Source organism: Homo sapiens, chromosome 2 (genome assembly GCF_000001405.40).
Source record: "Homo sapiens chromosome 2, GRCh38.p14 Primary Assembly".
Classification (NCBI taxonomy): domain Eukaryota; kingdom Metazoa; phylum Chordata; class Mammalia; order Primates; family Hominidae; genus Homo; species Homo sapiens.
Genome location: NC_000002.12, coordinates 21632955 through 21650953, shown reverse-complemented (window position 1 = coordinate 21650953; position 17999 = coordinate 21632955). Strand labels below are relative to the sequence as shown.

Genomic DNA, 17999 nt, shown 5'->3' with positions numbered 1-17999 from the left:
GAGAAATACAGTCTTGGCTCATGACTTACGATGTGACCTGGTTGTTGTCCTCCCTTTATGGATTTACTCGTTAGCCCACTGGTGATATCTGGACTCTGTTTGAGTAGTGGGTGGGACCCTTTGCAGCCTCTCTCTTGCTGTGTCATATCAAGCAAGTGAATTCCCTGAATGTTACCATCTGCTTCCTCAGAACTTCCCTGGGGCCACAATGACTCGTGCATTCTCTAAATTTTCTCTCAGATTAAAAACATTTTTATAAGGTCCAAAAGCAGTCCAGAGTTTATCTCTGGAACTCATACCAGTAAGTGTTTAAAATAACTATTTACTGGCAATAACGAAAATATTTGAGGTGCTCTTATAAAGTTCTAGTTGTGAAATATCAGTAAAATAATTGCCTAATTCCAAACCATGTACTGTTCTAATTAATTCTGCATGAGACATTTTTCCACCTTCAAAGATTGCTTTACTTGTATTGCATAACAAAATAATGGTATAATTAGGAACAAATTTGTCACTTTTATAAGTAATTCTTTTTTATTATGTGTTTGGAAGCAAATCACAAGCATGATTAAAGGCCCCTTTAAAAGGTTTTATTAATTATTATGATTATTATGGATAATAAGCGTCCAGAAGCTGCAGAACGCACCCCGGGCAAGACGCACAAAGCCACAAAGCATGGCAGGAACAGGGATGGCTCTGAGATTCAGGTTTCTTTATTCTCACTGTTTGTCTTTTCCCTTGTTTAAGGCAGGGGCATCAAAGATAGGAAGTATTTCATGTTTCATCTCCTTCTACCTCTGTTCAGACTCCCTCCCAACAGGATAATCAAATAAGCGGGTCCTTTTGTCTTCAACACCCTCCGTCTCTTACCTGCCCACTCCCCCACCTTCACCCTCCATCTTGTCAAAAGTCCAATCAGTCCTCAAAAGTCAGCTCTGGAAATCCTCTGCCAGGGAAGCTTCTCTGCTGCCTTTCTAGGCTGGAGCCCCTCCTGAGCTGCCACTTCTATCCCCATCACTGGATGTGAGCTCTTTGAGGCCAAAGACCGTGTCTTGTGTTTGCTTTTGTTTCTCTTACATCCCCAGCACAGAGCCAGTTTGTAAGAGCCATTGAAGAGCATTTACTTAATTGATAGGTAAATTAATGAATAATATGTGCTCATCCTTTTTACTAATATGCATTGCCTAAAATCAATGGACTGGGCTCTACCAGTGAACATGGGTGCCAGGAGCCTCATGTCCAGCCAGCTATCCTGAGGAGAAGCTGAAGTAGCTGCCGCCTAGAACTCTCTCCCTCTATAATGGAGAATCCACACTTTAAATAAAAATGTGCCTCACTAGAATTCTCCTCTCAACCACTTAATGTGATGTCATAGATTCACAGATCATTATAGCCACAGGGTTCTTTAGAGGCCACTTTCTTCAAGTCTCTAATTTTGCATATGAGAAACACTAAGACTCAGCAGATAAGGATGGAGGCGACTCAACATCACACTGAGACAGGTCATCTGGGACCCATGGTTTCTAACTTCTAGACCGAATCTCTTTCTTTCGAATGTCCAGATCATCTCTCCTTCTTCTAAAAACCAAAGAGGCCTCTGCATGCCTCTCCCTGGGTGAGGGGAAGAGCGAGGATCCCATGTCTGGAGGAGGAGTGGTCACATGGCAGGCTTTCCTCTACTGTGTGTTTGTGCTTTTGTTTTCTGGGCTATTCCTTATGTTCACAAACATTTCACAAGTGTTCCTGGGGCCATAGGAGTGTCAGCTATCAGTCTACTTTGTGTCCCAAGGCCATTCTTCTGACTCTGTCTCTTCCCTTCCAAACTTATGGCCCTATGCTCACGCTACCCCTTAGCTAAAAGACAGCAGAATCTGCTGACAATGTCTGATGTCACCCCACAGATGATGATCCCCGCAGAAACCACATCAAAATGAGCATGAGGCAGAAGCCATATATCTTATTTTAGGTCCACAGCCTGGCTTTACCTTTCTGCCTGACTTCCTTTAATGCAGCCCTCATATTTGCAAGTGCTTGTCCAGGTGCACATTTGGAATATAGGGCAGCACTGAAAAAGAGTGTGGGCCAGGCTGTGTGAAGAGAGGCACACCTCTTCTGAGTAAAAATAAATGTTAAATTGGAAAGTTTTTTCTTTTTTTTCCCCACAACTCCAAGGACCACACCTAATAGTAGCCTGGCAGTTCTGGTTGCCAGTCCAGAAACCACCCTTGTATGGGAATTGGGGAAAGTACTGACCTTACAAAGAGGAGCCAGAAGAGAATGTTCCTCTGCATCTTGCCTGGTTCCTAAGATATCCCTAGGAGCCACATGGAAGGCACCATGAAGAGTAGCAGTAAAGAAGTTTGCTTTCTTTCAGTCAGTTATTTACAAGTTTTCTTTATATCTTTTCAAGTTTCCTTCTCTAAGGATTCATGCAAATATCACACCCAGAAGACCCATCACATTCTGAAAGAAAGACAATGGGGGATTCTCACTGGGTGATGCCAGGCCTTGGTCAGGGATAAGGTTCTAGGTGTGACTGATGTGGCTTAGGACACACCATGAACTCCCTGGGCCAGGTGGAGCAGAGCTGGGTCTAGTCCATGCATGAGGAAAAATGGAAGGAAACAGAGAAGGCATCCTTGCTGCATCAGTCAGATAGGGCAGGCCAGATGCAGGATGCTGACCTAGAGGAGGGACAAGACAGGAGCACAGGCAATCCTGGCTCTCAGTGGACATTGCAGCCAGGAGGATTTTTAGAACGCTCATTTGAGTGGCACCTCCAAGAGGGAGGAGCACGTAGCAAGGGTAGCTGTGGAAGGCAAAGCTAGATCTGGCCTCCATTTAAATCAAAGACCGTCTGCCATCTTTTCCTTTTTTAAAAAATGTTTTTCTGCTGCCACCTTCACAGTCTCCCCATGTACATGAATTTTATAGTCTCAAACACTTTGAGAATGTTTGGCTACAGCGCCCCCCGCCCTGGGTCTCCCCAGCCCAGTGAAGTAAAAAAACAGAAAAGGACAGGGGTTCGAGAAGGGGCCAAAGCCTAGTAACAGAACACTCATGGTGACTTAGAGGCTGTCTTTTCACAGATGAGGGGTAAACTTTCCCTAATAGAATTCACAGTGTCATTATTTTTCTGACCTTCCCCAATCCAAAAGACTGTATACCACTAAAAAGAACATCACGGACTTTTCATTTCAGATATGAGCCCTGCATTTCTGAATGCCTTGAAAGAAAAACCAGCAAGTTGGGAGGGCCGTGTCTCCTTATCATCTTCCAGGAATTCAAAACCGTGATTTCCAGTTTCCAAATGCAACTCAAGCTCCATCACCCTGTACATCTTGCACGGTTTCTCCAGCATATCCTGATCGCCACCTCCAGACCCTTCTGATAGATTCATTACCTGAATCTATTTGGTAACTAATCATCTGCTGTATTTATATTCATGGGACCCACACTTTGACTCTGAGCTACTCCAGGAGTAGAGGATGTGGCTTGCATTGTTCTTATGTCTTTCACAGGGCCAAGGAGATGAGAACCATCTATGCATTATTCACGCATTTATTCCTTAACTATGTATTCAGCACCTGCTCTCTGCTAGGACTCATTCTAGCTACTAAACTTACAGAGATGAATATAGGGCTCCTGAGTTTGAGAGCTCTCTCAGCCTAGTGAGAGAATCAGACATGTAGACATGTAATGATCATACAGTGCAACAAACATGCTTCAGAAGTGCAAGCAAAATGAGTTCTCTGAGAACACTGAGGAGCGGAGGAGAGACTCCAAGGGAATGGCAGTGAGATTGTGTGCCAAAGCTTCTCAATAAATATTTGTTCATTAATTAGGAGAGGAGTACACTTCTTTAGGGATTACAGGGACAAAATGTTCTCATTAGCTGATGATGAGAGAAATGTTTTCCTTAGAGTCAGAGAGCTCATGGGAGTTGGTAAGTGATAATCTGTGTATTAATAATAACAAAAGGAGGAAGCACTGACAGGAACACAAGGCTCAGATGCATCTTGAGCATCAGATAAATCCATTGCATTTCTGGGCCTGTAATGCAATCCTGCCCATCGTAATATCCCCTGCCGACTTTCTCCCCAGTCCAGGGAGATGCTTTTTGCCCACAGAGAGCCACAAACCCATACTCCAGGCACAGGAACCTATGTGGGCTCAACCAGCAGCTGATAGGCTAGGAGATGAGCAGCTCTTTCTTCAAGACCCTTGCCTGGGAAGGGAGGGGAGCCTCTGTGTGGCCTGGGTTTTGCCTGCACAGTTTATTTATTCTGTAGCATATGCTGGCTCAGCAAATTAAGGCAGCTCCAATTTTCCGTGTTCATTTTAGTCCTCCCTTAACTCTCATAAGTTGCATTTTGTAGCGATCTGGCCCTTATGGCTTATAAGGGAAGCAGCTGTGATTTTTCATCCTTTGAACTCTTGAGCCAAATGGCTTAACACTGCCCACTAGTTACCCTCTCCCCTGGATCTGATGACCAGCAATGTGGTGATTAGTAACAAGCGTCGTCTGCGAGGCTGGGAATGTTTTTTTATTCTTACAGCAAACTTCACAGCATCATGGTGCTTGTGTGTCCTCCATCTGTCAATAAATCAATGTTGACATGTAAGAAAACAGTAGTAAGCAAGTGAAACTGCTTTGCTCAGGTGGGAGAGAGATCTGATCATATATGCAATGTGAGGAGTACTCAGACCCTCTTTCAGATAATGTTCTATCACTTATAATGGGCTTTTGTTCTTGGTCAGCTTAACAATTTTTATGACTACCACCCTTTTCTTTCTCCTCTGTGTTGGCAGTTGTCACTTAGGCTCTGCAGCTGTCCATATTAAATAGCAAAAGACAGAAGTAGGTCCTATGGAGCAATCAGTCAGAAGAAAGGACTTATGTTTTTTATTCTATGTGTGCCAAATAACAGCAATGGTAATTGAAAACTTTACATTAAAACTCATGGCATTAAAGCCATTAATTTCTTAAAGGACAGATGGGCTATCTCTTCCATAGTAAGAAATTTTAAAAATCAATATTGAAAGCTAAAAATGAGGTCATGTAGTGTCAACCATCCTCCAGTCTTTGTGAGTTCAGAGTTCAAGAGCAACGTATTTGGTACTTGGAAACTTGCACTTGATGTGAACACTGGAACCCTTTATAGTATTTCATTGTACTATTTCGTCACTCTGAAGTTGCCCTCTCCAGATCTAAGTAACTCACGAAATTGTGTCTTTTAGGGTTTCAGCTCTTGTCTCAAGGATCTCATCTGGTTTGGCAACCAAAGGGAGGAAAATTAATTCAAAGAACTTAGAATATCAGAAAATGATAAGGCTAAAGCAGAATGTACACTGAACTATAGAAGTTTTACTTCACCTGTAGTCTTTGTAGGGCTTGACATTTAGTCTTGAATATAATTTTGGCTCATTGGCTAAGATACTAAACTTAAGAAGAAAGACAAATGTAGACTAGCGTGTTGGAAATATTGGGAAAACAGCTTACTAAAACAGAGAAATAAAAACATAAGTTAAGAGAAAGAGAGCAATCCACAATGGATAATCCCAGCCCCATAAAAGGAAGGCTTGTCTGCCTCTCTGTTTTTGTGCCTGGTCTTCTAGTTATGATCCAGACGAATGGGCATCCTGAGAGCTGGTAGCTGGTGCTGCTGTCAGTGGGCTCCCAGGCAGTCACACTTCATCCGAGTTATGGAGCTGACCCTGACCCTGTTGAGGGTCAGCAATGCTGACCTATGCTTTCGGGCAAGAATAACAATTGCAGAAGAGTTTGATACAAATAGGAGGGATGACACAATTTGTGATTAGCGAGTGATTAAGATTTTAGAACTTTGTTCCACTCTTTATAAAAGCATTTTAGGAGGCATGTGTTCGCCTCTATGTGCATATCCTGAACCTGGATATTGTAAGAAAATGCCAGAATCGTGGTTTCAAATAGCCGCACTAAATGTGGATCAGTTAGAACAATTGTATGAGGTTTATATTTAATCTTCCTCAACACTACCTAAAGCCAGTGCTGTTAAAATGCCAGCCGGGCATGGTGGCTCACACCTGCAATCCTAGCATTTTGGGAGGCTGAGGCAGGTGGATCACCTGAAGTTAGGAGTTTGAGACCAGCCTAGACAACATGGTGAAACCCTGTCTCTACTAAAAAATACAAAAATTAGCTGGGCGAGGTGGCAGGCACCTGTAATCCCAAATACTCAGAAGGCTGAGGCAGGTGAATTGCTTGAACCCAGGAGGTGGAGGCTGCAGTGAGCCGAGATCATGCCACTGCACTTCAGCCTGGGCCTCAAGAGCAAAACTCTGTCCAAAAAAAAAAAGTCTTCCTTTCGGTCCCCACTCTATTCCACATATGATAGTCTCTGTGTTGACACAGAGTTGTCTCTGAGTTACACATAGTCTGAAAGGAGCAGAAGTTCACAAGATCCAGTAATGCATGTCAAAGCTGTGATGTCATGAAACCAGCACAACCATGCTGAAAACATGCCTGGCCCTGGTGTAGGATAGTACAGATAAGCCAATCTTGCTGCTCTTTGCCAAGAAGCATTAATTAAATTTGGAGATTATTTTTCCATCTGAAAGTTTAACCTGCCTTGATTGTGTCAGACCAAAGCAAATGATGTCACATCATGGTACCTGCCCACTTGCCAACAGACCAATAGCAACTAGACTCACAAATGCCAGAGCTAACCCTCAGCATAAACTAGAGTCCGGATCAGAGATTTCAGACACTACTTACTGAGTTTTCTAGGTATACCTGTCTCCACAGAGAAGTATCACTTCTGTAGAGAAGTGGTTGTCAACTCAGGTGATTTTGCTCCTCACTCAAAAAATATTTGGCAATATTTGGAGACATTTTCAGTTGGCGCTATTGTGAAGTTGCTACTAATATCCAGCAGGTGAAGCCACAGATGGCTCCTACAATACACAAGACACCCCTCCATTACCAAGAATTATTTGGCCCAAAATGTCAATTGTGCTGAAGTTGAGAAATCCTGCCCTAGAATCACTAGAATATTGCAGAGTTGATATTTTCAAGGTATAGTTAGAAGGAATGACACTCAGCATAACCTACCCAAAGTGGCAGGTTTTCGATACTCTTCTAAGTCCTCTCCCTCACTCACACCTCGCCCCTATGACAAGGCTCCCATGTCATTCTATAATATGTCCTTGCATTGCATGTTCATTTTACGTATTCTTGATGAAGCAGGAGAGCCATTTGTATGGGGGAATAAAAATCATCAAGACTTGCCTTTAAAGTATTAGGGTTACTACTTGGAACTTGGCATATAATTCAGATTGGGCCTCCTTTCTGCAGCCTTCAGATAATTTATAGGCGGTTTCTACTGATGATCCTCTCTCTGGCCTCCTGAACAGTTCAGATCTCTTAACCTTTGAATTAAACATGCTTCACTCATGAAGTACTTTCTCTTGACTTGGCACAAATCATTACTCCTGCTTGTTTGAAGAGTTTCCATGTCCATAGCCCACCTCTGCAATTCACTTCACATTCCATTTCTGCAAGAAAGCCTCCCCCGCTGTTCCTGTTTGCATTTCTCTTATTTTCCTAAACAATGAATCACTGACTATGGCATTTTCCCCCATCACCCCACCTTATGTTAGCTGGGTTTTCACTATCCAAGTCTTATCTCAGCAGTGAATGGTCATGATGAACACTGGGTATATATAAAGAAAAGGAAGCCATTTCCTTGTATTATTAATAGTTTCAGAGCTTACTGTATTCTGGAAACTCTGCTAAGCATTTTATAGGCACTGCCTCAATTTTACAAGGAACATATGATTCTTCTTATTTTATAGATGAGTAAATTGAGTTCAGAGAATTTAAATAAATTGTTCAAGACCACGAGCTTTTACATTTCAGACCTGCAATTCAGACGTAGATCAGTGTGAACATAATAACCCATGCTCCTAACTAGTCCATTGCACAGCCTCCCTCAAGGTGTTCCCCATCTAAGAGAGAGCTACGTATGTTCATTTGGAGGCAGAAAACCTCCGTGAGCCAAGTCAGGCTAATGAGCTTTGTGGTGACTCAGCATCAGCAGGCTCCAGGCAGGCATCCCACTGATAACTTTAATGCACCTTATCTGAAACCAGCCTTGAGGACCCCTTGAACACGTGGCTCAGCACCACACGGTCTTATGAATAGTAATGAAATCCAATCAGGAGCGGAAGCCTTAGGTTTTAATTGAGCTATCCTTTAAAGGACTGCTCTTCTCAGTGTCAAGGTCATGTTCCCCTAGCTGAGGCAGTTATTTTATGTGTGTAACAACGATAATAGGCACTGGAGACACATTGAGGACAAGTGGCATGCGGCATGAAAGAAAGAAGGAAATATACGAAAAGCAATCATTGAAGTATACACTATAGACTTTCCCATTGATAATTGGTTTAAATTATTAAAGCACATAAGAGATTATTAACTAGAGAGAGTATAAATTACTTTTTTTTTTTTTTTTTTTTTTTTGCTGAGCATGACTTTTCAAAGTCTCCCAAACTTCCACATTAAAAAAGCTTTAAATTTGGAGTCATTAGAAAAAAAAATCTCTTAAAAATTATCTCCAGAGTAGATGGATAAGGAAAGAGCAGATGCTGCACGAATTTGAGATCATGTTACCCGCCATGAGAATATAAAATGTGAAATGATATTTAAATAATGCTAACAGGGCTCAGTAGGTGGCTGGCATTGGCCAAATCCAAAGAGTTGGCTTTGCAGGCCCCTGGGACAGGAAACATCTCTGGGCGATTGGGACAGACAGCTGAGCACACACCCTCAGAACTCCTGGAAAACTTTGTGACGCACAGCTCTGGGAGCACAGCCGCCTCAGGATGGAAGGACACATCTTCAGTAGATACCACTGGGAGGGGCCTCATCTTCCACCTCCACCTGTGTGCAGAGCAAGGGAGGGGAGCAGCCAAGCCCAAGAGATTTCAGGAAGAGGCCAGGCCAGGGAAAATGAGTGACATATATCTTCCTTCTCCTGCTTCAGATGCCGACTTATATCCCTGTTCTCCAAGCCCTCCTGACTTTCCTGCAAATAGGTCTGATGAGTCTGTTCTGATCTAATGCTATTCCAATCTTCTGGGGCTCTGAATTAGCATTTTGAGGATGTACTGTTCTGGCAAGAGACCCTATATCTAGTAAGGCCAATTATCTCCTTAGATTTCTAGTTCTATCTTTATTCATTAACTCCCATTTCCTCTCTCAGAAATGAGCTCATTTGGTCTGCTTGCCTTTTCTTTGAATGACTTTTCCTCCTTGTGGCCTAAATCCAGGATCTTTTTGCTCAGTCTCTCTCTAGGCCTCCTCCTTTGCCCTGTGGTTTCCTCTCCTCTACTTTTCATTTCTCAGTGGTGCTTCCACTGAAAGAATGAAAAGGCCGAGCAAAACTGCTTTCTCCTGCCAAGCACAGGCCAAGCTCTGCTTTTGTCAAGCATGTCAGGATGACAGAAATGCTACAGTTTCAGCGCCATTCTTTTAAAGATGGTCATGATATATCATTGCATGAGGTAAGAGGCTAGGAAACAATGTGCCTAGCACACACACATACACACACATGCATGCACACACATACACACTGCACACATATTGTGATGGATACCTCTTACCAACCTTCCTCAAACTTGTATTATTTTTGTAATTGTTTCTCCCCCAGGTCCAACCATAGTCTTTTTTTTTTTTTTTTTTTTTTTTGAGACAGAGTCTTGCTCTGTCGCCCAGGCTGGACTGCAGTAGCGCGATCTCGGCTCACTGCAAGCTCTGCCTCCCGGGTTCATGCCATTCTCCTGCCTCAGCCTCCCGAGCAGCTGGGACTACAGGCGCCCGCCACCACGCCCGGCTAATTTTTTGTATTTTTAGTAGAGACGGGGTTTCACTGTGTTAGCCAGGCTGGTCTCGATCTCCTGACCTCGTGATCCGCCCATCTCGGCCACCCAAAGTGCTGGGATTACAGGCGTGAGCCACTGCGCCCGGCCCATCCAACCATATTCTTATATGGTGCCGACACTCTTTTTCAGGATCAAAATCAAGTTAATAAGACCAACAATATTTTTTTCCCAGATTCATAATTATTTTCAAATTGGAAATGGAAAAGTATTTTCTACTCCAGAATCAAAATTACCCCACATGGATGAAGCTGTACTACAGAAAGAAATAATAATGTTGGCACCCAGAGAGAAAGGATAGTCAGAGATGCAGAAAGCAAGACTGCTAATGGAGTTTCAAACTTGGATTCCAATTACTCTCCCGGACTTCCTGTAATTCAAATATCAGCTTCTCCTTTGATTATGTGACCTTACTAGATGTCCTGCCAATAAATTCACTTCTTATCTAACCTCTGTTAGTTCACTTACTGTTGCTTATATACAAAGGACTCCTGAATAACATAGAAATATATTCTTGAATAACATACACCAATATATTAACAGTACTTATCTCTGGATTTTCTCTTTTACTTATCTGCATTTACCACTGCTTTATAAGGAACCCCAAATATTTACGTACTTTTATAATAACTTACTCTTTTTTGTCATGGTGATTTGTCTACTTATCTGATTAAAATAGAAATACTTTTCAGAAGAATAACAAATGTAATTGTGAAGAAATTCAGTAGATATGAGGCATCCATTACCACTGGGTCAGAATCGTATGTTTGTCCAGCAAATATTTATTGAGTGCCCAGTACTACTCAGCACTGTTGGCCAAGAGTGAGCAAACCTGGACTCTGTGTTTGTGAAGTTTGTGAGCTGGTGGAAGATACAGACAAATCAGTAATCACTCAAACAAATGCAAAGCTGCAACTGTGATGATTGCTATGAGGAGAAGAAACTTGGAAATAAGGAAATATGACCTAGTTATAAAAGTCAGGAATACTTCCTGGAGAAAAATGACACTTAAGATGAGATCTGGAGATAAGAACAAGTTAACTGAGGAAGAGAGGAAGAAAGAACATTCCAGGGAGTGGAGGCTGCATATCAGATGCTCCATGAAAGGAGGGGATATGGGGCATCTGGGACATTGAAAGAAAGCCAGTGTCACTGAACTGGAAAGAGCCAAGAGCTATAGTGTGAGAGGGAGCTGGTGAATTAGGTGATGACCAGAGTATGAGACACCTTGTGAATCAAGTTCAGGCATTTTGTTTTCTTCAGAGTGTGGAAGGGCTGTTAATGGACATGCATGGAATGTCTCTGTGCATGTGTGTCTGGGATATGAGTGGTGAAGTATGATCAGATTTGAATGTTTTAGGCATCACCCTGACTAAGGTGGTTTGAATGTCCCATACAAATCTCGTGCTGATATGTAATCCACAATGTTGGAGGTGGGGCCTGGTGAGAGGTGATTGGATCATGGGGGCGGATTTCTCATGAATAGTTTAGCACCATTCCCTTGCAATAGCGAGTGAGTTCTCATGAGATCTAGTCATTTAAAAGTGTATAGCACCTTCCCCGCCTCTCTCTCTTGCTTCTGCTCTTGTCATGTGATGTCACTGATCCCTCTTCCTCTTCCACAATGATTGGAAGCCTCTTGAGGCCTCCCCAGAAGCAGATGCTGCTATGCTTCCTGTACAGCCTGCAGAACTGTGAGTCAATTAAACCTCTTTATAAATTACCCACTCCCAGCTATTTCTTTATATGAATGCAAGAATGGACTAACACACTGACCATGGAACATAGACAGATGTGAGAAGATCCAGAAAAGATGCAGCTCAATTAATTAGAAAGGCCTCTGGAATGGGCACAAGCCAGGTGAGAGATGATGGTAGCTCATCATGGGATAATGGTGATGAAGCTAGAGAAAAGAGATTTTGGGGTGTATATTCACATCTCTGTTTTCAAGAAATGTAATTCCTATTAGAGGCAGGAATTTCCTTGTCACAGACAAGGGGACTGGAATTTATAAAAACATAACTTGGCCAAATACAATTGAGCTAAAATGTGTTGAGCCTCATTTCTATCAGAAGTAAATAGAGAAAGCTTCAAGCAGAGGTAGGACCCAAGCTATGTACTAAAGAATGGGTCAGCTTCTGTGTAAAGGGGAGAAATTATTGTGGGATTTAGCAGGAAACAGGAGACACCCTCGAATTGGGTAAGTTGAGAAGAGTTCAATAAAGAGACTACTTATAAAGGTATGAGCAATGTGTACAGAAATTCCAAGGAATGGTGACATACCACAGGTCTAGTAACCACCCTTAGACTTGAAGGATTGAGAAGAGGAAGTGGCCCCTGGAGCCAGAGAGAGAGAGAGCGCTAGGTAGATACATTACCTGATGAAAGTTGATGCTTTACAACAAAAGGTAAAGCAAACTCACTATAACCCTGCAGGGAGGGGAAGGGCCGGGAGAAATGCATACTCTGACCTCACTCTCCTTTCTCCCACCAGATCCTGAACTCCTGCTCTCCCTTGGCTCAACCTCATCACAGCCAGAAAGGATGAGAGCTCTTTAATGAAGTGCATACATGTCAGTTTCCCAGGACACAAACCAAAGTAAAGAAGAATGGAGCATGCTCCTATAAAGGAAAATAAAAGGAGATCCATAAAGCAAATCCAACTCATGGACACTTACTAAACATGCACTGTGTTCATGTAATGGCTCCAAGAATCTTAGTGGACATGGACGGAAGTACACACCTGGAGTGGACCTACAGAAGCTCAGAGTCAAATGGCAGAAAGATGATATGGGCATTGAATACATTAAATGAAAATAAAAGTAATAAATCACAAGAGAAGAGAGTAACTGAGGGTGTCACTGGGCAGTACATTAGCAATTAATTACCAGACACCTATGCAGTTAAAATGTACTGCTGGCCTTCAAAGGTGAAGGAATCCATGGCCTGGAATGACCATAAAAAATTTATTTTAACAAAAAGACATGACTGTAGCCTTTTAGGGTAAAGAGATTTTAACATTTGAAGAGCAGAGAGACAGGTACAGCATTGCAGGCTAGGAAATGTGGGAGTTCAAAATGGCAGACCAGGAGGAAGGCAAGTTGTGTTTGGGAAAATTGACTTTATGGTTATTAGAAAGACCATGTAAGCAAGCAGAGATCAATTGTGCTAGAAATGTTTTTCAAATTGAGCATCTGGTGTGTGTTAGGCACTGCTCTCGGCACTGGGGATACAGCTGTGAACATGATCAACAAGGACCCTGCAATCATGGAGATTAAATTATAGTGAGGCAAACAGAATATAAATAAATATACACATTAGGTGAAAGCCAGACAGCTTCGGGTCTTATGGAGAGAGTTACTGTTGGAGCATGTACTAGAGAATGACTAAATGGTAACTATATGGGATGGTCGAAGATGACCTCAATGAGGAATCTCTACACTTAGATAAGACCCAAATAGCAAGAATGGTTCTTGTTCTGTATTATAATCAAGAGGAAGAGGATTTCAGGCAGAGGGAAAAATGGGATCCATGGGCTAAAACAGGTACTTGAATGATGTTTTTGAGGAAATAAATGAAGATCAGGGTGGCTAGAGCATTGTGATGAAGGTTTACACCAGGTGCTGGCTGGTTTTTATTCCTAGTGAGAGACAATTGTTGCATTTTCAGGGATTTTGTAAGGCAATTCATATAACGTTGGTAGCTTATAATTGACTATGGTAGGAATATTCATACCTGAGAAATCGGCAAACACTGTGAATCAGGACTCCCTCTTTGTCCCCAACCCTCAACTCCCATTCAGAGAGCCTGTTTTTGAGTATTTTCTTGCATACCACAGAGTGAGTATAAGAAGCAGCTGGAATAGTAACTAGGAACCAATCATCTTAGGCTTTATAAGGCAGAGAAAGGAATTTTAATTTTAGGTGTGTTGGGAAGCCATTAGTGGGTCTTATGTAGGAAATGAATATGGTCTGATTTACATATGTAAAGGATAATTCTGAGTATGTTATGGAACACTTTGTAAATAGGTAAAAAGAGAAATAGGAAAATCAGCTATTGCATTAGACTCAGTTAGAAGTGGCAGTGGTTTTGCTAGGGGTTATATAAAAGGAAGAAAACTTAATAATGTTAGGCCTGACTATAGGTAGAATCTATAGTTTTTACTCATGAATTGGATGTAAGAATTGAGGAGAAACGAAGAACCAAGTAAAAATTTTGAGCTTTGGCTTGGGAAACTAGGTATATGGTAACGCCAAAAAGAGAGATGTAGAGAATTGATGTAGGAGCAAAGCTGGGCTGGGAAATTGAGAAAATTATACCTGCCTTGTTAAAGTTGAAACACCCACATGACACTCACCTGGAAGGATATTCACACTTGGATTGTTGGGGAATAATAAGAACTAGAGATACAGTTTGAGGGTCACTGGCATAGAGATAGTAATTAAAACCAGGATGTCAGTTATATCACCTAGGGATAATGCAAAGAGAGAGAAAAGCAGGAGATAAGACAGATCGAGCAGTGGGAGAAGCCGGCATTGAAGAATGAAGAGGAAAACCAGGCGTGTCTAGTGCCATGATGCCAAGAGAAAAACCCAGCTCCGAGAAGACAGGAGTTTGTTTGCTAATGTTATTGAGGGATAAAGTAAAATACGAAGAGAGAAGTAACTTGGACTGGCGGCAAAGCGATCACCAGTGCTCCTTCTAACTGTGGTGTCGATAAAGTAATGTGGACTGGATGAAGGAGCCTCGTTGGAATAAACTCATGTGAGGATGCTCACTGAAAAAGCAGACATGAGTATAAAAGGGGCAGGGAGTAGGGGGAGTGACAAGAGTTGGAGGGGGATGTGGGGTCAAAAGAGGTTTTTGCTGACTATATTTTATTTTTCAGATAGGAATGATGATACCGTGTTTACCTACTAATGGGAATGACCCTATTGAAGAGGGAACATCACGTATGTTGGGGAGCGGAAAAGTCAAAGTCCTCGAAAAGGTGAGAAGGAATGGGATCTAGGGCACAAGATGAGGGGTTGTCAATTCACCAAACGTGTATTAAATGATTCCTATGTGCCAAGTTTCACTGAACAGATCTCTGAAAGCACATCTGGAATATTTTCCAGCATTAAGTTCCCCTAGTTGATTTCAAGCTGCTTGAGAACTGAGAGCTTATTTTGTTATTGTTCTCCAAGTCTCGGACACCAGCCCAATTTCAGGCACACGTTAAGACTTAATAGTAAGTATTTGCCAATTATATGTTGAATAAAACTAAAAAGTTTTCATTTAAATCGTTACCATTAGCAGTTATTGGGACATCTGATTTAATCATAAGCAGCATTGAGGAGATAGACATAACTAGCAAAAATAGACAACTTCAATTACAGATTTTTTTGTTCCTTACTTTAAATTTGACTTAGATTGGCAGGGAATAAGGTTGGGGCCAGATGGATGTGGGAGTTGAGGAAGAGAGAGCTCCCTCTCTAAGTCACTAATGAAAGAGAATTATTGTATTTTACATAAAATCTAGTTTAGTTTAATTCTTGAAAACAACTAATCGTACGCATCACCTCAATGTACCTACACATAGTATTGAGTTTCAATTTTTGAGTGTGTTATCTTAGTACGTCTTCTCTATAATTGTAACCTACTGAGCTTCCCTGAAAACATACTTCATTTCTGCCTGTGTATGTGCCTCTGAGGCCAGTGCAACCAACCCCAATCACTTTTCATAACCCCAGCACCACCCTGTCACTCCTATATCACGCTCAGTCCCACATCTTGTTCTCTCCCTTGAAATGGTTCCTTCTTTCTTCTTTTATTGTCGAAATTTTCTCATCTTTCAACATCCAATTCAAGTCCCACCAACTCTAAGAAATCTTTCCAAGGGTAAGAAACGTATCCACTTGCTTAAATTCTGTAGTATTTAGTGAATTCGTTATTTAGCAATTGTCGAATAACACCTCATATTTAATTTGGTGGCATGCGCGTGTGCATGTGTGTGTGAGAGAGAGAGGGAGAAGGGAGAGAGTTTCGTATATATCTGTAATAATTTAACCTGAATAGATACATTGATATTAAGAAGTTGGCTTTAAAATAGCTTCTGCTTCTCAGAAGTTCAGAGAACAAGACAAGAAGTATCTATAACAAAATACTTCAGGCTCACTCTCTGCTTCAAAGATGGTGCCTTCTAGCTGTGTCCTCACATGGTGGAAGGGGCAAACAAAGTCCCTTAGGCTTCTTTTATAAGAGCATTCATTCTATTCATAAGGGAAAAGTCACTCATGATCTAATCATCTTCCACAGGACCCACCTCCCAGCATTATGCTGGAGATTGCATTTCAACACATGAATTTTGGGGAGACGCAAACATTCAGATCGTAACAAGGGCTAAATGACTTTTGGAAACTCAGCTGTAGTGCAGGTGAAACATTTTTGATTGCTTGAACTACACAAATGCTGTATCAACCACATCCTCCTAAGTAGTAGGGTATTGACTCTGTTCTTTTTTCTTGAAAATTATATATATACATATATATGCATATTTTCTATTTTTGAAAGCTTTTCTAAAATATGTGTTTTAGAAAAGAAACAAAGTTTTTTCAATCACTGTAATCACTGTCACATCCAACAAACGAACCACAGCTACCTGGAGGGAAGAGGCAAAGTAATGGGATTAAGTGGAGAGCTCACAAGACTAGGTTTCAAAAACCTGGAATATTCTTGAATCTGCCTATGGATGTGTGATCTTGGGATAGTCATTTCCCTTTTCCGGGCCCTCGATTTCTAAAATGAAAGGTTTTGACTAAATGATGTTGAAGATCTTTCCAGCTCTGTCAGGACACGATGCTAAGGTTGTAAATGAGATCTGAGTTTATCACTCTCCTTTGATCAACACTGCAGACCTTGCTCCTTCCTGACATGCTGTGCTTCCTGGAACATAATTGACATAATGCGGGTGTCATATCTCTTTTGATTCCCCAAGCATGAGCGAAGTCATCAACTCTCCTCGTTTAACCTTTCAACAAATAGCTCTGTTTGTTTCAGCCAGGGGCAGTATATATAATTATAATAAAATGTCTTAATACAAAGATGAACACGTAATATTCAAGCCACTAAATTAGAAAATATCCATGTCCCCATATGGCACCCGGAAATCACTCTCCCTTTAGCGACTAGTTTTCAGTTAGTAAAAATGGAAATCAATTTAGCAAACATCACGTCTATGCTCGAGCCAGAGCTGTCCTAATATCCCCTACAGTGGTGTCCTTGCAGGAGCCAGCTCAGGCAGCTAGCAGTGCACCCCATTTCGCAGACGGAGACAGGCTTTGTTGCTAGCCATGCAGATGCCCTCTGGCAATCCTCACTGGCGCCTGCCTCAGCAACAGAATTGGCTGCCTCTTCTTGTTTGTCTCTTTGCTCCTATAGGTGTAATGTGGGTATTTGTTTTACTAAAGGGTTTGCTTCACTCACGAGGTATTAGACCTAGGGATCAGACATGAAATAATTATTCAGCCTCCAGCAGCTTTTTTTTCTGGTGCTGCCATTTCTAAGCCAGCAGTCAGTTTCTGCAGGGATCTGTGTTACAGGAGAAAAGCCACTCGCAGCCTGACTAGATTGCGTATAGACAGAGAAAGCCCTATTAAACCCTTTATCTACTGTTACCTTGAAAACAAAAGAGCATCCTCCAGCTTTTCTCTGAATTGCTGTATTCCAGGAATCAAGTAAATGACTCGGCTGTTAGTCTCTGTGAAACCCGGTTTACATCTTTTACCTCTGGTGATGGTGACCTTCACTTGGGGCCTCAAAACTCACTCACACACTGTGTCTTCATCATGTTTATGTGCCTTTGGATAATTTCTATGTCGTCATTATAGGCATGATTTTTGGTTTGCTTTCTAATTGCTGCTTCTAAGAATTGATTAGAAGAATGAGCATTCGATCTCTTCCACACAGGACTAAGTTCATTCTGTTTTGTTGTTGTTACTGAGAATACCACTTAGCATATCGTTATCTATTTCCAAAAATCTTCCTCATGTTTGCCATCAATGAGCCTCAGGATTGTGCTTCAGTTCATCCAGTCCAAA

At 41.8% G+C, this 17999-nt stretch overlaps 1 long non-coding RNA gene across 11 annotated transcripts in view; it reads left to right on the top strand.

Annotated features, from left to right (window-relative positions):
- Positions 1–1381: 1381 nt before the first annotated feature.
- The window catches only part of LOC101929230 (uncharacterized), a 42108-nt gene continuing 25490 nt past the window's right edge, over positions 1382–17999 (top strand). For 4 of the 11 annotated variants that reach the window (XR_001739327.2, XR_939803.3, XR_001739326.2 and 1 more), the window contains exons 1-5: positions 1414–1502; positions 3202–3416; positions 11656–11781; positions 12416–14685; positions 14810–14911. This is a non-coding gene — a long non-coding RNA (uncharacterized LOC101929230). Of the gene's footprint in view, positions 1682–3201; positions 3417–11655; positions 11782–12415; positions 14686–14809; positions 14912–15038; positions 15129–16218; positions 16337–17999 lie in introns of those variants that run through there. The other 7 variants (XR_007088662.1, XR_001739328.2, XR_939806.4 and 4 more) reach the window with 7 other exon arrangements.